Below are 23,927 nucleotides of genomic sequence, written 5' to 3' on the forward strand. Positions count from 1 at the left end.
TTCCTCCCTCCTCAGCCTCCCAAAGTTCTGGGATTATGGGCAGGAGCCAGTGCACCCAGCCTAGGACCAAGTCTTATAACGACAGTTCTGCGTATTTTTGTATTGACCTAATCCAGCTCCTGGTTCCAAGTTATAAACCTGGCTCTGGCCCTTGTCTGGAGAAGACAGCCTATGCTGGTCTCCTTAGTACATGAAGGCTTGGTTGCCACTGTCTGCTGCCAGACTGAGAACCATGAAACCATGGCATAGCCTTACTCATTACTTTGTTTCTTTGCTTTTTTTGGATCCATAAAGGTATTTGTTCCCAGCATTTTATTATAAAAATTTTCAAACATACAGAATACTAGAAAGAATTACACAGTGAACACACATCTGCCCATCACTTAGATTCTACAATCAGCATTTTACTGTAATTTCTCTATTACATATCTGTCCACATTAATCCACTCTTTTATCCATACATTGGTCTATCTTATTTCACGATGCCCTTCAAAGTGAGTTGTACTCTTCACCTGTAAGTTCTAAAACATTACATATTACTGATTAGAGTTCAGTGTTTGTTTTCGTTTATAGTTTTTTGAAGTAACATTTACATATAAGATACACAAATCTTATTTTTTATTTATTTATTTTTTTTGAGATGGAGTCTTGCTCTGTCGCTCAGGCTGGAGTGCAATGGCGCGATCTTGGCTCACTGCAAGCTCAGACTCCCAGGTTCACGCCATTCTCCTGCTTCAGCCTCCCGAGTAGCTGGGACTGCAGGCGCCCACCACCACGCCTGGCTAATTTGTGTGTGTGTGTGTATGTGTGTGTGTGTGTATTTTTAGTAGAGACGGGATTTCACTGTGTTAATCAGGACGGTCTCGATCTCCTGGCCTCATGATCCATCCGCCTCGGCCTCCCAAAGTGCTGGGATTACAGGTGTGAGCCACCGCACCCGGCCAAGATGTACAAATCTTAAGTGTACCATTTACCAAGTGTTATCAAACACATCATCTATACAGCTTAAGCCTCTGTCAAGATACTGAACGTTACCGTCAATTTTCTTATGCTCTTTCCCAGTCAGTCCTACTCCTGTACTTCCGGAAGCAACCATTGTTCTCATTTTTATTTCTACCATAAATTTGTTGTGCCTGCTCTAGAATTTTATATTAGAGAAGGATACAGCATTTATTCTTTTGTGTAAGGCTTCTTTTGCATAGCACGATGTTTCTGAAATTTATCCATTTGATTGTAGTAATAAGTTGTTCCTTTTCACTGCTGAATACTTCTATTCTTTTCTTTAAATATACCACAGTTTGTTTACTCATTTCAGCGGAGTCTTTCTTTTTTCTTAAAGCATATGGGACTCAGGTATCTGTGGGGTCTTTTTAATTTTTCTTTTTCTTTTTTATCTATCACTGATATGTATTTGGAGAGAAGGGAGTGCATCAAATAGGCTCCTAACTGTGCCGTCTTTAACTAAAATTTCCTAGTTTAACTGGTGTGTATTAATTTTAGATTATTTTATGTAAATTGAGTAAAGTAGCTGTTTTTTAATTTTATTGGGAATTGAATTTAGCCCCTTTCATTTTCCTTTTAATTCTGTTCCATGGGCATTGTCAGAGTTTACATTTTTACATGAAATTTAAAAGTAGAAGATATATAAATGAAGAGCTATAGTTGGTGTTTTAAAAGTTCCATTGTCCTGGCTGGGTATGGTGGCTCACGCCTGTAATCCCAGCACTTTGGGAGGCTGAGGTGGGCGGATCACCTAAGGTCAGGAGTTCGAGACCAGCCTGGTCAATATGGTGAAACCCCGTCTCTACTAAAAATACAAAAATTACCTGGGCATGGTGGCACATGCCTGTAATCTCAGCTACTTGGGAGGCTGAGGCAGGAGAATTGCTTTAACCCGGGAGGCAGAGGTTATAGTGAGCCAAGATCACGCCATTGCACTCCAGCCTGGGCAACAAGAATGAAACTCCATCTCAAAAAAAAAAAAAGTTCCGTTGTCCCATAAATCATATTAGTCTGCCTCTTTTTTCTTTTGAGAGACGAAATCTTGCTCTGTTGCCCAGGCTGGAGTCCAGTGGCACGATCTCGGCTCACTGCAACCTCTGCCTTCCGGGTTCAAGCCAGTCTCCTGCCTCAGCTTCCCAAGTAGCTGGGTCTACAGGTCCACGCCACCATGCCCAGCTAATTTTTGTATTTTTATTAATGACAGGGTTTCACTATGTTTTGGCCAGGCTGGTCTCGAACTCCTGACCTCAAGTGATCCTCCCACCTTGGCCTCCCAAAGTGCTGGGATTACAGGCATGAGCCACCACACCCGGCCAATAGTCTGCCTCTTGAATATATATTTCTTTTTCACATTTAAAAAAATTCAATAAGTTCATCATGTGTTTGCTGTTAAATTAAGTATAATTTATCTATAATCTCCATACTCCTTTGGTGTTATCAACAGTATTAACAATAGAACTCTTTGTTTTCAAGAATGTGTTGATTCAGCCAGCTGAACAATACCTAGTCCTTCCTTGATATCTGAGGGGGATTGATTCTAGGATACCCACCCCCCATATTCTAGGATGCTTAAGTCCCTTATATAACATTACATAGTATTTGCATATAACCTACACACGTCCTTCTGTACACTTCAAATTATCTCTAGATTACTTACACCTAATGTAAATGCTGTGTAAACAGTTGTTATACTGTATTGGTTTTGAATTTGTAGTATTTTTTATTGTTATTTTTTATTCTTCCCCCTCGTCCCCAAATATTTTTGATGTGCACTTGGTTCATACAGAGGGCCAACTGTTTTGCAGTTCTGTGGGATCTCTAAAATAACGTAAATTGAGAAATTTAACCTCTTTCTGACACTTAATGCTAAAAGGAATCGCTAATGAAGCACAACAGATTTTACACATAACATAAAGTTTCAACATTTGTTAAAATAATATTTTATTTTTTACCTTTTTTTAGGTTTGGTTGGGATGTTCCAGTAATTCTGAGAAATTCAGAAGAGACCCAGTTCAGCACAAGAGTTTTCAAAAAGCAAATGAGACAAGTCAAGAATCCTTTTGGCTTAGAGATCACTAATCCATCTTCAGCTTCAATTACAAGTTGGTGGCTGTTTTCCAAAGATTTTCTCTCATTGTTTGCCCTCTTTTTTTAGCCCTTTTATTTTCTTTCTCTATTTCTTTCCCTTCATTAGACTTTTAACAAACATTTGTTGGGCAACTATGTTGTTCCAGGTGCTGTACTGTATATGACAGATACAAAGATTAAGAAGTTACAAACTTTACTCCTGAAGAATTTATCACCTAGTAAACAGAGGTAGATGTGTATACAAAGGAGTAGAATGAAGTATTACAGGTGTTAATAGTGAAGTCTCTTAGGACACTATGCCATTTTTATTGGTCTGTAGTAAAGTGAGAAATGATGTGTTATGTCTAAATACAGTTAACGTAAGGTTGCTAACCTTTTGAGGAACAATTGCCTTTTTATTTTTTTTGAGACAGATTCTTACTCTGTCATCCAGGCTGGAGTGCAATGGCACAATCTCGGCTCACTACAGCCTCCACCTCCCGGGTTCAAGCGATTCTCCTGCCTCAGCCTCCCAAGTCACTGAGATTACAGGCATGCACCACCACACCTGGCTAATTTTTGTTTTTTTAGTAGAGACAGTGTTTCACCATGTTGACCAGGCTGGTCTCAAACTCCTGACCTCAGATGATCCACCCACCTCAGCCTCCCAAAGTGCTGGGATTACAGGTGTGAGCCACTGCGCGCGGCCAGAATGATTGTCATTTAATCTGAAACTATGGTATTTTGGTATAAATTATTTTGATATAACATGTTCTTTTGTAGATGGTAGGTAATAGATGGCAGTTGTTTGCTTTTGTACTTGCTTGGAAAAATAAGTTGTCTGCAGGACCATATAGGAACCATTAGAATTGTAAAGAAAGAGATGCTTAAATTTGTTAAGGTGAAGAGGCATATTCAGGAAAGCCTTCATAAAAAAGAATATGCTGAGTCTCTCTTACTTTTTTTTTCTTTATTCCTTCCTCCTTTTTTTTTTTTGAGTAGAATCTTGGAAGATAGGTGTTTACTTCGTGGATGAGAAATGGAGTGATACATTAAAGAAACAGTAGTTATGGCTAAAGCATAGGATGGGACAGGTAACAGAGGAGTCTAAGAAGACTCAGGTTCTTCCTATGGGTCCTCCATAGCCAGATCCTGTTAGAAAAATGAGGAGTACAGAAAGAATAGCAAGTTTCCAAAGAAAGGCAATGAATTCAATTTTGAACTTTTGGACTTTGAAATTCTTTCGTGACAGTTCAATAGAAATAAAGAGTAGGCAGTCCTAGATACAGTTCTGTAGCTTTTTTTCTGGGCCGAGACCCTGTCCCTTCTATACTTGCTTACATTTCTGGTTTCTTGAAAACAAATAAGCCAGATCTTTCTCTGCTTTTCATCCTAGTCTAGCTACTGCCGTATTTCTCTTCTTCCCCTCACAGCCAGCTTCTTAGAAGCTGTTTGCATTTTCCTTCTCTTAGCCTGCTTCATTTTTACTCCTCAGTGCAGTGCAGTCTGACTTTTCCCTGTATCCCTTTACTGAAATGGCTTTCTCTGAGGTCACTAATTACGACTTCTGCCCTGCACTTTTGACCCCCAGCAGTCATCAAATCCAGTGGGAGCCTTTCAGGGCTGAGTTAATGCTCTCTCTCTAGTATTTTACAGAGTTGACCTTCATTTGCAACGTCCTGCTCCCTTGCGTCTATGGACCATTCTTGTCTATTCATCTTTCCTGCCTCTAACTCTCAGAATCTAATAACTGGTCAGAAATCAGTTTACTTAGTCAAATAGATCATCAGGCTTAAGTAAATCTTGATTTGTAAGGAAAAATATATGTTTTTTTTTTTTTTTTTCGAGACAGGCTCTTGCTCTTCCACCCAGGCTGGAATGCAGTAGTATGATCATACCTCACTGCAGCCCCAATACCCTGGGCTCAAGTGGTCCTCCTGCCTCAGCCCCCTGAGTAGCTGGGACTACAGGTGTGCATGACCGTGCCTGGCTAAATAAAAAAAAAAATGTTTTTTGTGGAGATGGGGTCTTGCTGTGTTGCCCAGGCTGGTCTCAAACTTCTGGCCTCAAGCAGTCCTTCTGCCCCAGGCTCACAAAGTGCTGGGATTACAGGCGTGACCCACTGTTCTTGGCCCCAAAAAGTACAAAATTTCTTATTCATCCTCTTTAGCTGTAAATACTATTACCCTATGAATTGATGGAAACTAGGATCTCGGCCACTCCCCTCCCCGCTCCTTCCCTATAATAGATAACAGTTCATTCTGATATTTTTTACTTGAGAAAACCAAATTTTGAGATATGACACAGATAAAACTAATTTGTTTAAAAGATAGTAGGTTGTGCATGCCTGATTAAAGTGTACACCCAGCTACCAGCTACTCGGGAGGATGAGGTGGGAGGATTGCTTGAGTCCAGGAGGTCGAGGTTGCAGTAAGCCGTGATCACACCACTTCACTTCAGCCTGGGTGACAGAGTGAGACTCTGTCTCAAAAAATAAAATAAAAAATCAAGTGTACAGCATAGTGGTGGTTCAATAACCTCCCACCTCTGTGGCCATAGGCTAGAACCTGCTACAATGTCACATCTGGCTCTTGAGCAGGACCCGCAATGAAAAACCTACCAGCTGCAAGGCCTTCCTTCCTGCAGTACAGTTCCACAGGTCTGAAAATACACTGAAAAACTAAGAAGAGCTGATACATTGTGAGCAAAACACAGGGCACTTGTGAGGCAGAAAGTGTGAGGAAATCCATCAATCTGCTTTTCAGGCAGAAATAGTCACAAATAGAACCAGCCTTGCGAATGTTTGAGGCAAATGAAAAGATAGCCAGTAAGTAGCCCTCTTAGCTATGCCTGCACACTAGTTGCTAACCAACAGTAGTATTACTGAAGTCATGAAAAATTATTTAAATGTGTGGATGTACAGCATGAATACTGAAATATTTTAATTTTTAAAATACCGATGCATATCATTTATTATCTTTCTCCTATGGGGAAATAGAAGGATTTTGATAGGAGTTATACTCAACAGAGTAAAATTCATTTGTTTAAACTGTGGAAAAGTGGGTATCATTAAAGATGTCTATACAGAACATTAAAATAATATTGTAACAATATTTGTGACATTTAAAAAAGTTATTTCATTTGATGTGTAGATAGTTTAAAAATCTTTTTTTCACCACTGTACCCAAACTGCCTGACATATAGCAGAAGAGGGTGAATAATCTAGAGACCTGATTTAACTTGAAAATAAACCAGAGGCTGCACGTGGTGGCTCATGCTTGTAATCCCAGTACTCTGGGAGGCTGAGACGGGCGGATCCTTGAGTCCAGGAGTTCAAGACCAGCCTGGCCAACATGGCGAAACCTCATCTCTACTAAAAATACAAAAATTAGCTGGGCGTGGTGGCACATGCCTGTTAGTGCCGGCTACTCAGGAGGCTTAGGCTGGAGGATTGCTTAAGTCTGGGAGGTTGAGGCTGCAGTGAGCTGAGATCATGCCACTGCACTCCAGCCTGGGCAACAGAGTGAGACCCTGTCTCAAAAAACAAAAACAAAAAAACACACATGCTTTTTATTTATATTTAAGATTTTTTTTTTTTTTTTTTTTTTTGAGACGGAGTCTCGCTCTGTCGCCCAGGCTAGAGTGCAGTGGTGCAATCTTGGCTCACTGCAACGTCTGCCTCCCAGGTTCAAGCAATTCTCCTCCCTTAGCCTCCTGAGTAGCAGGGACTACAGGTGCATGCCACCATGCCCAGCTAATTTTTTGTATTTTTAGTAGAGACAGGGTTTCACCGTGTTATCCAGGATGGTCTCAATCTCTTGACCTCATGATCTGCCCACCTCGGCCTCCCAAAGTGCTGGGATTACAAGTGTGAGCCACTGCGCCCTGGCCATATTTTAAAATTTATAATTAAAAAAAAAAGAAAACCAGAGAATCGATTTTAATCTGAGTCATTTAGTTCTGTTTACTAGGGGTGGGTTGCTGGGATTTTTTTGTTGTTGTTATTATGTAATGATATATTTGGATTTGCGTTTCCATGTCTCCAATATAGAGTCTTTAATGAAATTGAAAGTTAGATACTCAGTGTATATAAGTTGAGTTGAATTAATTTGATTCAGGAATTCTGCTTTTTGTAAATAGCTTCCTTATATTTTAGCTTATTCACTCTGGTAAGAGCTAACATTAAAGCAAAAGGGTTAGAAAAAAACACAATGTACATGGCATGTTTGGAGGCGTTTGTGAACCTCCATTCTCTACAACCTAAAACTTTCATCTCCCAATACTCTGGCTTTATTATCCTCATGAATGGTCTCCTTGTTTTATTACTGCTTCTCTCACAGGGATCCTTCCTCAAGAAGGTTTGTGGCTTTTCCGCCCCATCATTTCTCCCTTTTTAGTGGCTTAGCATATTTTCTACAGTCCTTATTTTTTTCACTTTTTTGCAAGGCTGTCTCTTACACTCCGCTTTATTTGCTTGTTATAGATAGTCTGGGTAAGGACAGTTTGAGAGATACCACACCCATGTGCTTCACTTATTTTGATTCTGAATTTTCTTACAGCTACGTCCCAATTCTGTTAATGCTATTGATCTAAAGTGATGTCATGTGTGTACTGAGTTTTAGAAGGCAAAAAAATACATAAAAATTGAAACTCTTTGCAAAAAAAAAAGTGGAAAAGGTAAAGGGAGAATAGTTTTGATGGGGGTACTGACACTGTCTTCAGATAGTGGAAATCATTACATTCTCCCCTCAGTTTATGTAATGGACAAGTTTGTAAAAGATTATAGAGATATACCTAATGCTAAATGACGAGTTAATGGGTGCAGGACACCAACATGGCACATGTATACATATGTAGCAAACCTGCACATTGTGCACATGTACCCTAAAACTTAAAGTATAATAATAATAACATTAAAAAAAGAGATTATGGAGAGTATAATTTTATAGATTCTGTAGTTTTTTTAAATTAATTTTAGAGACATTTTAAGATCTGATTAATCTCCAGTTGTCAAAGGTCTCTGACACTCTTCCCATTTTAGTTAAGTATACAAAGTCTATAAACGAGTCTCTTAAGTAGCTCTGAATCTTTGGGGCTCTGGCTTTTTTTTTCTTTTTACAAAGCAAATAAACAGGGTAGTTTTATATGTTCTGTAAGCTGTAAGTTGAGTTTTAAAAGGCTTATCCTTCCATTGTTCTTTTTTTTTTTTTCTTTTTTTGAAACAGGGTCTCACTCTGTCATCCAGGTGGAAATGTAGTGGTGTGATCATGGCTGACTGCAGCCGTGATCCTCCTACCTCAGCCTTCCAAGAAGTTAGGACCACGGGTGCGTGCCACCATGCCCAGCTAATTTTTGTGTGTTTTGTAGAGACATGGTTTTGCCACGTTGGCCCAGGCTGGTCTCAAACTCCTGGCTCAAGTGATCTGCACATCTTGGCCTCCCAAAGTGCTGGAATTACAGGCATGAAACACCACACCCAGCCTGTTCTTCTTTAATGTAAACAAACACATATATGGGTATCCATTCTTGTGAGATAAACAGTAGCATATATATTTAATTTTCTCTACCTTGCTTTTTTTTCATTTACTAATATATTCTGAAGATCATTTCATAATAGTGTGTGCAGATACTCTGATATACCTCAATTCTTTTTTTTTTTTTTTTTTTTTTAAGAGACAGAGTCTCACTGTGTCAGCCAGGTTGTAGTGCAGTGGCACGATCTCGGCTCACTGTAACCTCCGCCTTCCTATTCACTTTTAATAGCTTCTTAGTACTTTATTGTAGAGTACTATATTTATTCATTTAATCCGCATTGATGAACATTTGGGTTTATTCCAGCATTTTGCTATGATAACTAGTGCTATAATGAGTAGCCTTATACATATATCTTTTCACATTTTTGCTAGTAATACAATAATAAATAATCATTTTGTGTTTCTTGTTTTTTCTTTTTCAATGTTTTAAAATATGCATTTTCTATTTTTTCCTTTCGTATCTACCTCCAGCTTTTTTCTTCTGCCTCATGTTATGTGGTTCTACAGTGACAAAGGGAAAAATATGTGTGATTTTGTATGTGTGTGTATATGTGTGTATATGTATTTGTGTATGTATAAATAAAATGTTTTCCTTCAGCTATTTAATATCAAATGGAATTTTTCATTCTTGAGTTAATACCTGATGATTGGAATCATAAAAATTTGAAATCAAAGCCTGCTCCAATTAACCTATGCAAAGTTCCTACCAATTAAAATTTTTCCTTAAGTATGATTAGAAATGGCCATGTATCAATGCTACTCAGACTCTCAGACTGTGTGTACATACTACTAAATACTGAGAGTAAAATTGGAAAAATCAGTTTTTGGTATCCTGTGGAGCATCTGCTTGTATTTGTGTATCTTCTTCTAACATATACTCTTGATCACATTTTAAAAAATAGGTAATATATCAATCAGAATTCTTATTAGCAAGCAACAGAAACAACTTCAATAAAAGGATATTGGGTAGCTTACAGAATTGCTGGCAGGTTTGGAGAGCCAAAATCAGATGCCAAGGCTGTTGAGCCAGGAACAATGACCAAAACCAGGCCCTTTTTATCTAGTCAGTGTATCAGTGCCAAGGAGTACTACACGTTACAGTTTGCGCTGCTACAGTTTGCACCCCCAGCAGTATGAAAGGCTGGATGTTGCTACCCTTGAATGTGATATTGCTACAAATACCACTAGGAGGGGGAAATCACATAGGTGACACAAAGTAAGTCCTATACAAGTGTTAAATAAAACTGTATAATTTCACATCTACTTACAATTTGTATATCCATTTAATCAGGTCTACTCAAATTGTTATATCTTCTTAAGTTGAAAGTGAACAACTGAATTAAGATACCACTATTAAACTCTTTATGTTTTGGAATCCCCACTCTTTTCCTCAGGATATTTTGCATATTACATGGGACATTAAGTCTGTGACAAGCCTGTATGTTAATGTTGTCAATGTATACATTAATGTTAGTAAAGCTCAGTTTCTTTTTAATATTTTTCTTACAACAGCGATCATGTTGTGGAGCCTATAGGTTGTACATATCCCCTTTAGAGGACAGCTGTATTCTGCTGCACTGTTTCTTGTCGTTAGGATCATATACACTATGAGAGTGGTAGGTTATCAATAGTGAACTGTATTTTAGTTTTAAAAATCTAGATGGGAAATGTCTTAGAGTCGCCAAAAAAGAAAATTAACAGTTTCTAAGCTTTAATAGATAAATAGTAAGAAATAGTTTTTTGATAGCTCTCAAAAAATGTGTAGACATTGAGCTTTTATATCTCTTGTTACAGAGGCCAGTTCCTTCGTTTATAGGAGGCATACCCTTTAACAAGTTCTTTTAACTGCCATCATCCTGGCCAGCATCCAAAAGGAAGCTTTTGTTACTCACCCTGTATGATTGTATTAGAAGTTACATTAAATCACTTTCATTCTTTCTCCTTTGTTTTTTACAGCTGGCATAACCTTGACAACAGATTGCCTTGAAGATAGCCTCCTTACATGCTACTGGGGGTGCAGTGTTCAAAAATTATATGAAGCTCTGCAGAAGCATGTTTATTGCTTCAGAATAAGCACTCCCCAAGCATTAGAAGATGCTCTGTATAGTGAATATCTCTATCAGGAACAGTATTTGTATCCTTTCGTCTGATATACCCATTAGCACTGAAAATTAGACTTCTTATGGATAAAGTGTTGCTAACTTATTGATCATTCTTGGTATACTAGAAGCATGTTTATTGCTTCAGAATAAGCACTCCTCAAGCATTAGAAGATGCTCTGTGGAGTGAATATCTCTATCAGGAACAGTATTTGTATCCTTTCATCTGATATACCCATTAGCACTGAAAATTAGACTTCTTATGGATAAAGTGTTGCTAACTTATTGATCATTTTTGGTATACTAGAAGCATGTTTATTGCTTCAGAATAAGCACTCCCCAAGCATTAGAAGATGCTCTGTGGAGTGAATATCTCTATCAGGAACAGTATTTGTATCCTTTCATCTGATATACCCATTAGCACTGAAAATTAGACTTCTTACGGATAAAGTGTTGCTAACTTATTGATCATTTTTGGTATACTAGAAGCATGTTTATTGCTTCAGAATAAGCACTCCTCAAGCATTAGAAGATGCTCTGTGGAGTGAATGTCTCTATCAGGAACAGTATTTGTATCCTTTTATCTGATATACCCATTAGCACTGAAAATTAGACTTCTTATGGATAAAGTGTTGCTAACTTATTGATCATTTTTGGTGTATTTTTGTTCTTATGGTTATAGTGGCAATTTACCTTTACATTTTCAAAAAGTATTAAAAAGGATAGCAAAGAAGAAATATATTGCCAGTTACCAAGAGATACTAAAATTGAAGACTTTGGTACAGTACCCAGATCTCGCTATCCATTGGTAGCGCTATTGACCTTAGCTGATGAGGATGACCGGGAAATTTATGATATTGTAAGTAATTGAAAATTTTGAAAGCATTACCTTTAAGTGATTTGAATGGTGGTTCTTCATTATTTGATAAATAGAAAAAGTTTTATTTTAATTTCTGAGGATGTGCATTTGGCCTACAACAACTATATACCTATTTGGTTTTTATATGTGAAACAGTACCTTCAGATTATGACTCATTTCTTGCCTTATGGGTCACAGTAATATGACTTTATTTGGAAAATAAAAGATATATAATGGTTGAATTAAGTTAGTTTCATCATTAACACCTATTTGGTTGTATACACCTATTTAGTTTTTATATGTGTAACAGTACCTTCAGAGTATGACTCATTTTTTGCCTTATGGATCACAGTAATATGACTTTATTTGGGAAATAAAAGATATATAATGGTTGAATTAAGTTAATTTCATCATTCTGTATTCTGTCATATTTGCTGTATAGAAACAGTCTGTTGGGAAGCATGTTTATTCTGAACATGTTTAGCAGTGAATAAATAAGCACAATAATGATCGAAAGTGCTCAATTTTAAGATAGTATCCACTCTTTTTTTGCCTGCTTGCAGTCACCTTGTTTCCATCAAAGTCCCTGCTGCACCTATATCTTATATGTCTGGTCCCTGTATTTTCAGTAATTATAATAATCTCCTTTCCTCATTATGTGCTAATTATTTTTTCAGTCTGATAGTTGATTCCTATTAGGAAGTTAAAAGTATCTTAGAGATCTAAGAGGACTGAAACTTTGACAATCATCTGAGTATAATAGAAACTTAGACATGAAATAAACTTTTGATGAAATTGTATCATGGTAAAAATGTCCTTACACACAATTGACTACTTTTCTGAAGTATTTAATATAGATTATTCATTAATAAACATATGGTAACATTGTTTTGTGATATTCGTAATATGCAAAGTACGTTCACAAACATGAACTTATTTTTTTCTTCTAACAACCTGGTTTCTTAGGACAGGGCAAATATTCTCCTTTCACAGACTGAAACAGAGTCAAGAAAAATCCCAGTCATTCAGGCAGTAAGAGATGGAACAAGAGCTTGACTCTGAGCTTTTTGTGTGTGTTTGTTTGTTTTTGTTTTTTGAGTTTATTTTTTTTAGCAGGAATATCTTCCTGCAACAAGTGTACATTGAGCTTTGGAAGGTAAAGACTCTTTGGGAAATCTAGACCCTTCTTACTCATTTGCAGTTAAGCACCTAGGTTTTTGGTTTTTAATATTTTCAAACTGAAGTTCCATTGAGCTGAGGTCAGCTTATTTTTTCCAAGTCATGGGGAGCAGAGGGGAAGGAAATGGGGATATGTAGGTCACTAGAGACAAAGTTACAGATACATAAAATGAACAGGTCTAGAGATCTAATGTACAGCATAAAGACTATAGTTAATGTGGTATTGCTTTTGGGATTTTTGGTGCTCTTGCCACATGCAAAAAAAGTGGAAGTAACTGTGTAAGATGATGCGTAATTTGCATTATAATAGTAACCATTTCACTAGGTATATATATATCAAAACATCCTGTTGTACACCTTAAATATATACAATAAAAATACAAAATACAAAAGTCATACCAGCAGTAGTGTATTTCCAGAACCTAGTACAGTGCCTAGGATATAATAGGGGTTCAATAAAGATTTGATAAGTAAAAAAAAAAAAAAAAAGTCATACTAGACAATGTTAATGAGCCTCATAGAGCTTGACAGCGAAACACCTTAGCTGTACATCCCATGCACCTTAGCGTGCATGAGAGGCCTTCTGGCTTCCTCCCTCCTTTCTCTCAGTTTCAGTTAGAGATAAATAAAACCTGTTAAATTGGTGTCTCCTATTTCTAGCTTCTTTGTTCTTGACCCTGTGTACTTGGGCAAGGAAGCCCTTCTGCCCCCACTGTGTGCCCCATCTCTGCTGAGTTTCTTGGGTTCTGTTCTCCTTTTTCCTTTGGTTCAGCACAAAAGGATCAGATCGCAGTCATTTTCCCTCCCAGCTTCCCCATTGCATTCCTTTTCCCTTCACTGATAGTGCTCTCTAGGTGCTCAGGGTCTTTTTTTTTTTCTAACTTTCTTCCCCTGTCCAAACAGGGAGTGATTGTGTATCTGTGTGGTAAAATATATATATTTTATATATAAAGTTTACCATTTTAACCATTTTTGTGTGTGTGTTTTCAGTTCAGTGGCCTTTTAGGCCAGAGAAGAGTTTGCTCTCAGGTCCCTGATCACACTGGATGAAGACTGTGTGGCCCAGCTGTAGTTGTGGGAGGCTTGTTCCCATAGGGAAGCCTGAGTGTCTCCCAAGGGTTAACAGCCATCTTCTCTTGTGCTTTGTGTATGTCTCTGTGTCTGGGTCCTTTTGAATGTCTTTTATTCTCATCTGTGGGCTCCCTCCTTTTTTCCTGTTAATCCTTGCTTCTCGTCTTATTTCTTAGATTGGGGGTAATATTGGCACTCAAATATATTTATTAGTGTATTTTGTATTAATGTTCTCTGTTTATAATTTTAAAAGCAAATGGACCATTTCCTATTTCTTTTTCATATGTGTTTTTTCAGTATTGTATGTGCGTGTCAGGGACTATATTTTTTTAAAAAATTTATTAATAAAATCATTTTTATTTTAACAGCAAAGAATTATATTTAGGTAGTACAGTTAGGAACCACTTTGTTGTTTTAGATTAAAAAAAGGAAAGCAGGAATTGTTACTACAAAATTTTGACTTTAAAATTTTTTCATTTTTAGTTAATTACATTGGCTTTTTTTCAGTATTATTCAAATAATACATTTGTGGCAGGAAAAAAAATTAGAAAGTGTAGATAAGCCAAAAGGAGAGAAGTATAATAATCTGTATTCTATCATCCAAAAATAATCACTGTGAATATTTGTCTGTATCTTTCCAAATCTTTATATATGTAATTAAAAAAGGGATAAAATTATACATTTTATACTATTTTGTGACCTGCTTTCACTTAGTAGTATATTCAAACATTTTTTCCATATCAAATATTTACCCACAACTACATATATAACTAGTATGATAATAGCTTCAGAGACTTTTAATATTAAATCAAATGACAAAATTGGTTTTTTTTTTGTTTTTTGAGACAGAATCTCGCTCTGTCGCCCAGGCTGGTGTGCAGTGGCACAATCTCAGCTCACTGTAGCCTCTGCTTCCTGGGTTCAAGCAATTCTCCTGCCTCAGCCTCCCGAGTAGCTGGGACTACAGGCACGCACCACCACGCCCAGTTAATTTTTGTATTTTTAGTAGAGATGGTGTTTCACCATGTTGGCCAGGTTGGTCTTGAACTCCTGACCTCGTGATCGACCCGCCTCGGCCTCCCAAAGTGCTGGGGTTACAGGTGTGAGCCACTGCTCCCAGAGGACAAAATTGTTAGTATGAAGTGATAACTACTATTTTCTACTAACCCCATCATTTTGATTTAGTATTAAAAGCCTCTGGTGCCATTACTAAATTAATAAATCTTTATAAACTTGTAAAGAATATTGTGTTTTTGCAACTAATGTAGGGTTTTAAAACTTTTTATTTGTACATAATTTCAAAAAGTTGCAAAAATAAAAAAGTAAAAGATCACCCATATACCCTGCACCTGGATCTCCTATTGTTAGCATTTCTGTCCTTTGCATTATTGTTCTCCCATTTATGTATGTATGTGTGTATTGATTGATTGGTTGAGATAGGATCTTGCTCTATCACCAGGCTGGAATATAGTGGCACAGTCATGGCTCACTGCAGCCTCAACTTCCTGAGCTCAAGTGATCCTTCTGCCTCAGCCTCCTGAGTAACCGGGCCAACAGGAATGTACCACTGTGCCCAGCTAAGTTAAAAAAAATTTTTTTCTAAAGACAGGATCTTACTGTGTTGCCCTGGCTGGTCTCAAACTCCTGAGCTCAAGCAGTACTCCCACTGTGATCTCCCAAAGGGCTGAGATTACAGGCGTGAGCCACCACACCCAGCCTACCCATATGTTTATACATACACATATATATGATCGTATATATATTTTAAATCAATGATTTGAGAATAAGTTGCATACGTGATGATTCTTTACCCCTAAATGCTTCAGTGTGTATTTCCTAAAAATAAGGATGCTTTCTTATATAACCACAGTATAGTCATCTGCTTTATAAATTTAACATTGATACAGTATTTTATCCAATTCACAACCAATTTTCTTCTCCAGTTCAGGTTCTAGTCTAGAGCCAGATTTTGTATTTGTCATGGATCTTTAGCTTCCTTTAGCCTGGAACATTTCCATACTCTGTCTTTTATGACATGAGCATTTTTGAAGGGTATAGTCACACACACACACACACACACACACACACACACACTTTTTGTAAATTAAAACATTCTCATTTTGTTTGTCTGATTTTTCTTATGATCAGATCAAAGTTTTACATCTGCAGCCAGTGAGCTGCCCGGGTGATGTGTCCTTTTCAGAGTGCCACCTCTAGAAGCATGCAATGTTCTTTTCTCTAATTGGTCATGTTAATTTTGATCTCTTAGTCAAGGTGTTATCTAATTTCTCCACTCTTCTGTTTTTTTCTCCCCCTTGATCTGTGAGGAGGCACTGTAAGATCATGTAAATATCCTGCTTTTTATTAAAAAAAATTTTTTTGTCCTAGATTTAACATCCATTGATGATTCTTGCCAGATTTCATCTTTACTGTGATGGTTGCAAAATTATTATTTTCCAACTGCAGCCCTCCCTCCAGTCGGTTCTTGGCATTCTACAACAAGCAAGAGACTTCCTGTCTCTCCCATTTGTTTGTTTGCTTATCTGTTGTCTCTATGGCCTCATGAATTTTTCCCCCAGTGTTTTATAATTCATGGCTGAATTTAATTATTTTGACGCTCAAACTGCCATTTCCCTGCTTCCTGCCAAGACTGAGGGTTTGTAGTCAAACTGTGCCCACAGATTACTTGGATTAGTTCTCTCAAAAGTCAGAAAACCATATAAAGAAATATACTCATGTTGTTTTCTTCCGTATCCCTTCCACGCCATTCCCACACACCCCAGTCTTTAGAGATAGTTGTTGTTTTCTGATTTTTCCTCCCTGTTTTTTATTTTCTCTTTTTTCTTACACAAAAGATAGCACATACTCTATGCTACATATGCTGTTTTGTACTTTGCTCTTTTTCATTTCAGAAAATCTGGAAATCACTGCACACCAGTTTGCAGAGATTGTCTTCACTTTTTTTTTTTTTAATAGCTGCATGGCACTGCACTGTGTGTATGCTGTGCATATTCCATAGTTATTCTGCCAGTCTCCTGTGCTTGGACATTCAGGTGGTTTCCAGTATTCTGCAGTAACAAATAATCTTATGCTGAATAATTCATATATACATATCTTAATATTGTTGGAATTGTATGGTTGAAGTGTAAATGCATGTTGTTTTGTTAGATATTGCCATTGGAATTGTACCTTTTTGGAAAAAAACATTTCCACCAACAATATATGAGAGTGTATTTCCACAGAGTGTATTGACAAGCTTCTGGATTTTTGTTACTTTGATGAGTGAATAATGGTGCAGTATTAATTTTAATTAAACATCTTTTAATATGGTCAAGGCTCATGTTTATATCTTTTTATGAATTGTCCGTTCATGTCTTTTGCCCATTTTTCTATAGGATTTTGGCCATTTTTCTTCAGTTTTTAAAAGTTCTTCATAAATTAGGAATATTAACCTTTAATTTGTGACACACCTTGTGAATATTTATTCTAGTTTGTCATGTGTTTTGACTTTGTTTATGGTGCTTTTTATCATGTATATTTTTAATTCTTATATAGTCAAGTGTATTTCCTCTGGGTTTTGAGTTGTAGTTAATGTCTTTCCTTACACTGAGACTAAAATGGAATTTGTTGATTTTCTTCTAGTACTTGTACAGTTTTATTTTTTACATTTAGATCTCTTATGTTTCTGGAGTTGATTCTTATGTATGGTATGAGGAATGCATCTAATTATATATTTTTCCAATAGCTATCCAATTGTCCCAATACTGTTTATTAAAAAAACTCTTTGGTGATTTGACATCACACCTTTATTATATTTTTGTACATAATTACGTCTGTTTCTGGACTGTTTATCCTGTTTCATCCATCTGTCTATTCATGTGCCAGTACCATACTGTTTTAATTTTAAAGGCTTTGTAGTCTGTTTTATTATCTGATGGGGCTAGTCGCCCTCATAACTCTCTCTTTTCAGTATTTTTCTAGCTGTTCTTTTGTGTTCATTTTTCTATATGAGAATTTTAGAGTCAATGCATGTAGCTCTCTAAGCAAAAGTGTTTTCTCTGGTCCCTTTACATCCAAGTTTCTTAAAAGACTGTTTAATACTGATTTTAATTCCTCTCCATTTCCTTCTTTAGTCCTCTCAAAGATTCCTTTGTCCATTGTGATAGCATTAAATTTGTAAATTTGAGTACAATTAAAATAACTCTGCCAAAAATATGTCAGTAACTGATTCCTCTGCAGTGATTATGATTTAATCAGATTGACGTAAATTTTCTAATTTATCAGCCTTTTATTTTTGAGAAGCATTTTTCTTTTTTTTTGGCAGAAGACAGTGTCTAGAAGCAGTTGAAAAGCATTTTTCATATATTTGTGAAATAATATAAAGATTTTAAGTACTGACCAGTGTTCAATTTTTATTTTAGATTTCCATGGTGTCAGTGATTCATATTCCTGATAGGACTTATAAACTATCCTGCAGAATATTGTATCAATATTTACTCTTGGCTCAAGGTCAATTTCATGATCTTAAGGTAAGCCGTACTCTGTAGTCTTATCTCTGTCTCTTTTGTTTACAGAGTTTCAAAGAATGGCCATTTATGGAAAGGTGATTATATTTTTCAGTTAATAATTACAGAAGATAACTAACTGTTCTTTGCAATTGAATTTGCTAGCTCATAAATTTTAAGCCGCTTCTTATGACCCCCAATTTTAAAGAGTAATTGTTATTTATAATAATCTTTAAATTTATTTCTTTGATTTTCAGCAACTTTTCATGTCTGCAAATAATAATTTCACTCCCTCCAACAATTCCTCTTCAGAAGAAAAAAACACAGACAGAAGTTTGTTGGAAAAGGTGGGACTCTCTGAAAGTGAAGTTGAGCCATCGGAAGAGAACAGCAAGGACTGTGTTGTTTGCCAGAATGGGACTGTGAACTGGGTACTCTTACCATGCAGACACACATGCCTGTGTGATGGCTGTGTGAAGTATTTTCAGCAGTGCCCAATGTGCAGGCAGTTTGTTCAGGAATCTTTTGCACTTTGCAGTCAAAAAGAGCAAGATAAAGACAAACCGAAGACTCTTTGAAGACATCGTAACACTGAAAAGTACACTTTCTACTAAAGATGCAGAAATTGATGATCTTGGAATTCATCATAACATGGAATCTACAGTACTGACCATCAATGAAAATTATATTTTAACTTCATATTTGTATGGTACTTGGATGATAAAAATTAATTATTCCTTTCTGCTTAGTGAATGAATACTGGAATCCATCTGTGTTGATACATAAAAATTCATTCAACTCTTGAAAAGAATCTAAGAGTTTGGCCTTTTATTAGCTAGATTTCCTCTCATGTTAATTAGAAAAATCATTCTGAAAGGCAATCCATTGAAAATTTGAGGAGGTTAAATTCTTAAGATCACTAAATGTTTTACCTTTGATGTAATCGGAGTGCAATTAAGAAAAAACTTAATTCTACTTAAAGTAATTGTGTGTTCCCTAGTTTATACAAAGGAGTTGGAATGAGCTTCTTTAGATCTTTTCCTGAAATAACAGCTTTTATAAATATCCATCTGTTTGGTTTCTAATGTCCCTTATTATAGTTACGTAAATACAGGTCATAGTTTTAAATATAGGTTCTTAAATCATAAATACAAGATATAATTCTTGACTGTTCTCCGTGTATTATAAAATGATACTCATCTATAGGAGGCAGATATATAAAATTCGGATAATAAGATTTTTTGGATAATTAAATTTATTAAATTGATAGTCAAGTGTGATTAGATTAGCAGAATGTGATCTCCAGGGAAGATCTGTGAGACCTTTAATGCCTTACCTTAGATTTCTGCCTGCACAGCAAATCCATCCAGAACTGAGGTGGGAGGTGGAGGTTATAGAGCTAGAAAAATCACTAAAAGAAACAAATAACTATTTTTTTCTAGTGTATTTTTATTCCAAATAAACCCTGTATTCTTCTGAATAGTAAATTACTTTATTCATCCATTGTTCTGTCTGTAAGAATTTTGAAACTTGGTAGGCAGAAAGACCCCACCCTTTTCTCTTTCCAAGATAACTAAAAGAAAAAGGTAAATCAGAGCTTTCCATGTTTTCAGTGAGAATTATCATAACTCACCAAGAAAGCAGATCATGGCAAATAAACTGTGACCTTCAGGGAGATTTTTCAAGCCCCTTTTTGTCCTGTTTGTATTAAGAATAATGCCTTACCTTTGTATCTGCATTTTTATATAATTCCATTCCAACCAGGTATAGCACTCTGAAGAAGACATTATCTATTCTCCATTATATAAACCAAATCAAACTTTCATCTACATTCACTAGCTATGTAATAAATACCTTCTAGGAGCCAGATACTTGTTGAGAGTCTGGGCTACAAAGAATCAGGCAAGACTCCTGATGTCAGGTATTTGAGCATAAAAAGAGCATTGATGGCTAATTAGAACCCCCCGACTTGCCACTCCCCCGCCCCGCCCCGAAGTTCCTAAGACTCTGTTCCAACCCTGCCACTGGAAGCAGGGTAGTCCAAAGCTGCAGTCCCTGCTGCCCTTAAGCTGCAGTCCCTGCTGCCCTTAACTAGCAGTATAACAATCTTGAAAAATCTGTCATGTAAATTGGGGGAATATTCAGACTCCATCCTAGCTCTGCTGCCTCTCTATAGATCTCTTTGTACCTTAACTGTCCTAGACACTTAGTTGGTTTCTCATCAGAAGCAGACTCCACCAAGCCTGCATTCTTATTCCATGTTTCATAACTTCGTTTGTAGTAAAATATACATATATAAAACTTACCATTTTAACCATTTTTAAGTGTAAAATTAGTTGACATTAATTACATTCACATTGTTTTGCAACATTCACCAGTATCCATCTCCAGAATTTTTCATCATCCCAAACTGAAACCCCATGCCCATTAAACAATAACTACCCATTCTCCCTCCCGCCAGCCTCTGGCAACCACCATTCTATTTTCTGTCCCTATAAATTTGACTATTCTAGGTACTTCATGTAAGTGGAATCATACAATATCCTTTTGTGTCTGTCTAAACTTCCTATTTCTTAAACATTCATCCATGTCAGCTTACATCAGAATTTCATTCCTTTTAAGGCTGAATAATATTCCACTGGATGTGAATGCCACATTTTGTTTATCTATTTATCCATCGTTTTCATAACTTAAAGATAACTTGCCTTTAGTTCTTGTTGCAGCTGAAGTAATTGTAAATATGAAGAATTTGGTAGGTTGTCAAGTAAAAACAAGTACACTGATTCCTAGGGGCTTGTGTCAGAATTTGTCAGTAGATGTGAGTAGTGACATTTTGTGAGAACAACTATAAATTTATTTCAATGGATTATTAGATAAAATATTTGCTTTATATAGATGCTATTTTTCAAAACTAGCAGCTTTTGGAACCAGGGCAACATCTAAGCAGACTTGACAGGTGAGTAGCCACCTCCTCTTTCAGTGACCCTTTCTTCCCAACTTAATGGAGCCCATTGCAAAGCCATATAGTTTAATTGCACCAGGCTTCTCAACAATTCTTTAGTTTAATGGACTCCCTACTGAACTCCCAAATAGTTATTTCAGACCTCTCCTACTTTTTTCAAGTTCTGTATCCCACCACTATTATATCACCCTCGGTAAAGAACCTTCGAGATGTAGTATGGTGTGGAGGTTATGATGGACCCCAAAGTCAGATAACTTGATTTTAATTCCAGCTCTGTCACTTAATGGCTAGTTGCCTTGGAGAAGTTACTTAACCTCACTCTGCCTCAGTTTCCTTATCTATAAAGTAATGATAATAGAACCTGCCCACAGGCAGTTGAGAGGATTACACCCATGAATATGTGTAAAGTGCTTACACTTGTGACCTCCATAGTAAGCCCCATGTAAGATTGGTTCTACTGTCATTTCTTTGCTTAGATGTTCAAAATCGGTAGACTTTTTTTTTTCTCTTCCCGAAGAGATGTATTATATCTCCTTTTGAGGCTAACACTTTACTTATTGTGTTGATTTCATCCCTGCTTGCCCCCGAACTCATTTGATTACTCATTCAATAACTAAACAAATAATTATTGAGTGTCAAAGATATTATACATCTTTGGTCATTGGGGATACAGGAATGAATAAAGTAGGCAAAACTCCTTTCCTTCATGGAGCTTACATTCTAGTAAAGACAGAAAGAGACCAATTAGTAAAAGTTAGAGGATCAGGTGGAAGTAAGTGCTGTGGAGGAGATCAAAGCTGGGATGGGTAGGTAGGGAATGTGAGGGACACAGACTGAGTTACACTGTATTTGAAGGCCTCTTTAGGAATTTTGGTGGAGACCTGAAGGGGGCCAGGGAGTAAGCCAGTTTGCAGTGAAGAGGTCTTAATGACTGCAAGGCTGGGAGTTGGAGTTTACTGAGATGGGGATGATTGGAAAAAGAGCAAGTTTGGAGGAAAAGAACAACTGTGTTTTTGTTAAGTTTTAGATGCCAGTTAGAAGTCAAGTAGAAATGTCAAATAAGCAGGTGAATATACTAATCTAGAGTTCAGAAAAGAGGTCCAGGCTGAAGATATAAATTTGAGGGTCATTAGCATGGTATTTAAAGCCAAAAGACCACGTGAGAGCGCCAAGGGAGTGAGCATAGGAATAGAAGAGGCCCCTGGTTTGACACTTGGGATACTCCAACATTCAGGGAGATTAGGGAAGAACCCATAGACTGAGGAGTAGACAGTGAGATAGGAGGAAAACTGGTGGAAGAGTGTTCTTTACACGGATCTATTTCTTAACAGAATTGAATGGGTAAAACAACCACCATTTTATTATGCTCAGAGATTCTGTGGTCAGGTATTGGCACAGGCTGTGGCACAGATAGGCTTGCCTGGAGCCTTATTTGGGAAGACTTGAATGGCTAGTGGGGTAACCCAAAGGCCTGAAGGCTAGAATTATCCGAAGGCTTCTTTACTCAGGTATTTGGTGCCTGGGCTGTGATGATGTAAAAGCTGGGCTGAGCTAGGACAACACATGGCCTTTACATGTGGCTTGGGTTTTGTGACAGTCTGGTGGCTTTAGGGTAGTCAGACTTTTTTAACGGAGGCTCAGGGCTCTAAGATCAAGTGTTTGTGGTGAACAAAACAAAAGCTGCATGGCCGTTTTTGTCTTTTTTAAAAACAGCTTTGTGGAGATCTAATTTACATACCATACAATTCCCCCTTGCAAACTGTACCATTCCGTAGTTTTAATGTGCTCACAGAATTTTATAATCATCACCACAATCAATTTTGAACATTTTTATTACCCCCAAAAGAAACCCTATGCCTATTAGCAGTCATCCCCAATCCCTCCATCCTCCCAGCCCTAGGCAAGCACTGACTTTGTCTTTATAGATTTGTCTGTTCTGGACAGTTCATGGAATGGAATCAAATGTAGAATCATAAATTGAATCACACAATATAAGATTTTTGTGACTGGTTTCTTTTAGCGTGTTTTCAAGGTTCATCCATGTTGTAGTGTGAATCGGTATTTTATTCCTTTTTATTGCTGGATGAGACTTCATTGTGTAGCTATACCATATTGTGTTTATCCAGTCAGCATTTGATGGGCTTTTGGTGTTTTCCACTTTGGGGCCATTATGAATAATGCTATGAAGATTTAGGTACAAGTTTTGGTAGAGATATATGTTTTCATTTCTCTGGGTATATACTGTGGGGAAGGAAAAACTTTTAATCTATTTCTTAGATTCAGTCATTGGAGGCCTGCAAATTAAATTGACAAATGAAAGATTAGCAAAAGAAAAGACATTTTAATCACATACAGACAGGAGTTCACAATGGAATGTGACTCAGGGATGATTATTTGGGGCTTATATGCAGTCGTAATAGGGGAAGGCAAGAGGGAGAAAGACACTTGGGGGAAAACAATGACTTTCAGGAAAGATAAATGGGCCCTTAGGAGACTACATGGAAGAAATGATAGATAGTTTTCATAACAAACGTCTATTTAGGTGTGATATGGAGACATCTTATCTCTGGTGATAATAGTTAATCTTCCCTGGTTGTTCTTGAGATGGGGATTTATGATGTTTCGGTTATTTTGACTTCTTTTGGGAGA

At 36.9% G+C, this 23,927-nt stretch overlaps 1 protein-coding gene across 1 annotated transcript in view; it reads left to right on the forward strand.

Moving 5' to 3' along the window:
• Positions 1-19,803, forward strand: part of CGRRF1 (cell growth regulator with ring finger domain 1) — a 29,387-nt gene extending 9,584 nt beyond the window's left edge. The window contains exons 2-6 of the mRNA NM_006568.3: positions 2,965-3,104; positions 10,560-10,737; positions 11,414-11,561; positions 18,233-18,340; positions 18,574-19,803. Of these exons, the coding sequence (NP_006559.1) occupies positions 2,965-3,104; positions 10,560-10,737; positions 11,414-11,561; positions 18,233-18,340; positions 18,574-18,894 (895 nt within the window). The 3' untranslated portion in view covers positions 18,895-19,803. The remainder of the gene's footprint in view (positions 1-2,964; positions 3,105-10,559; positions 10,738-11,413; positions 11,562-18,232; positions 18,341-18,573) is intronic.
• Positions 19,804-23,927: the final 4,124 nt, after the last annotated feature.

Source organism: Homo sapiens, chromosome 14 (assembly GCF_000001405.40).
Source record: "Homo sapiens chromosome 14, GRCh38.p14 Primary Assembly".
Taxonomy (NCBI): domain Eukaryota; kingdom Metazoa; phylum Chordata; class Mammalia; order Primates; family Hominidae; genus Homo; species Homo sapiens.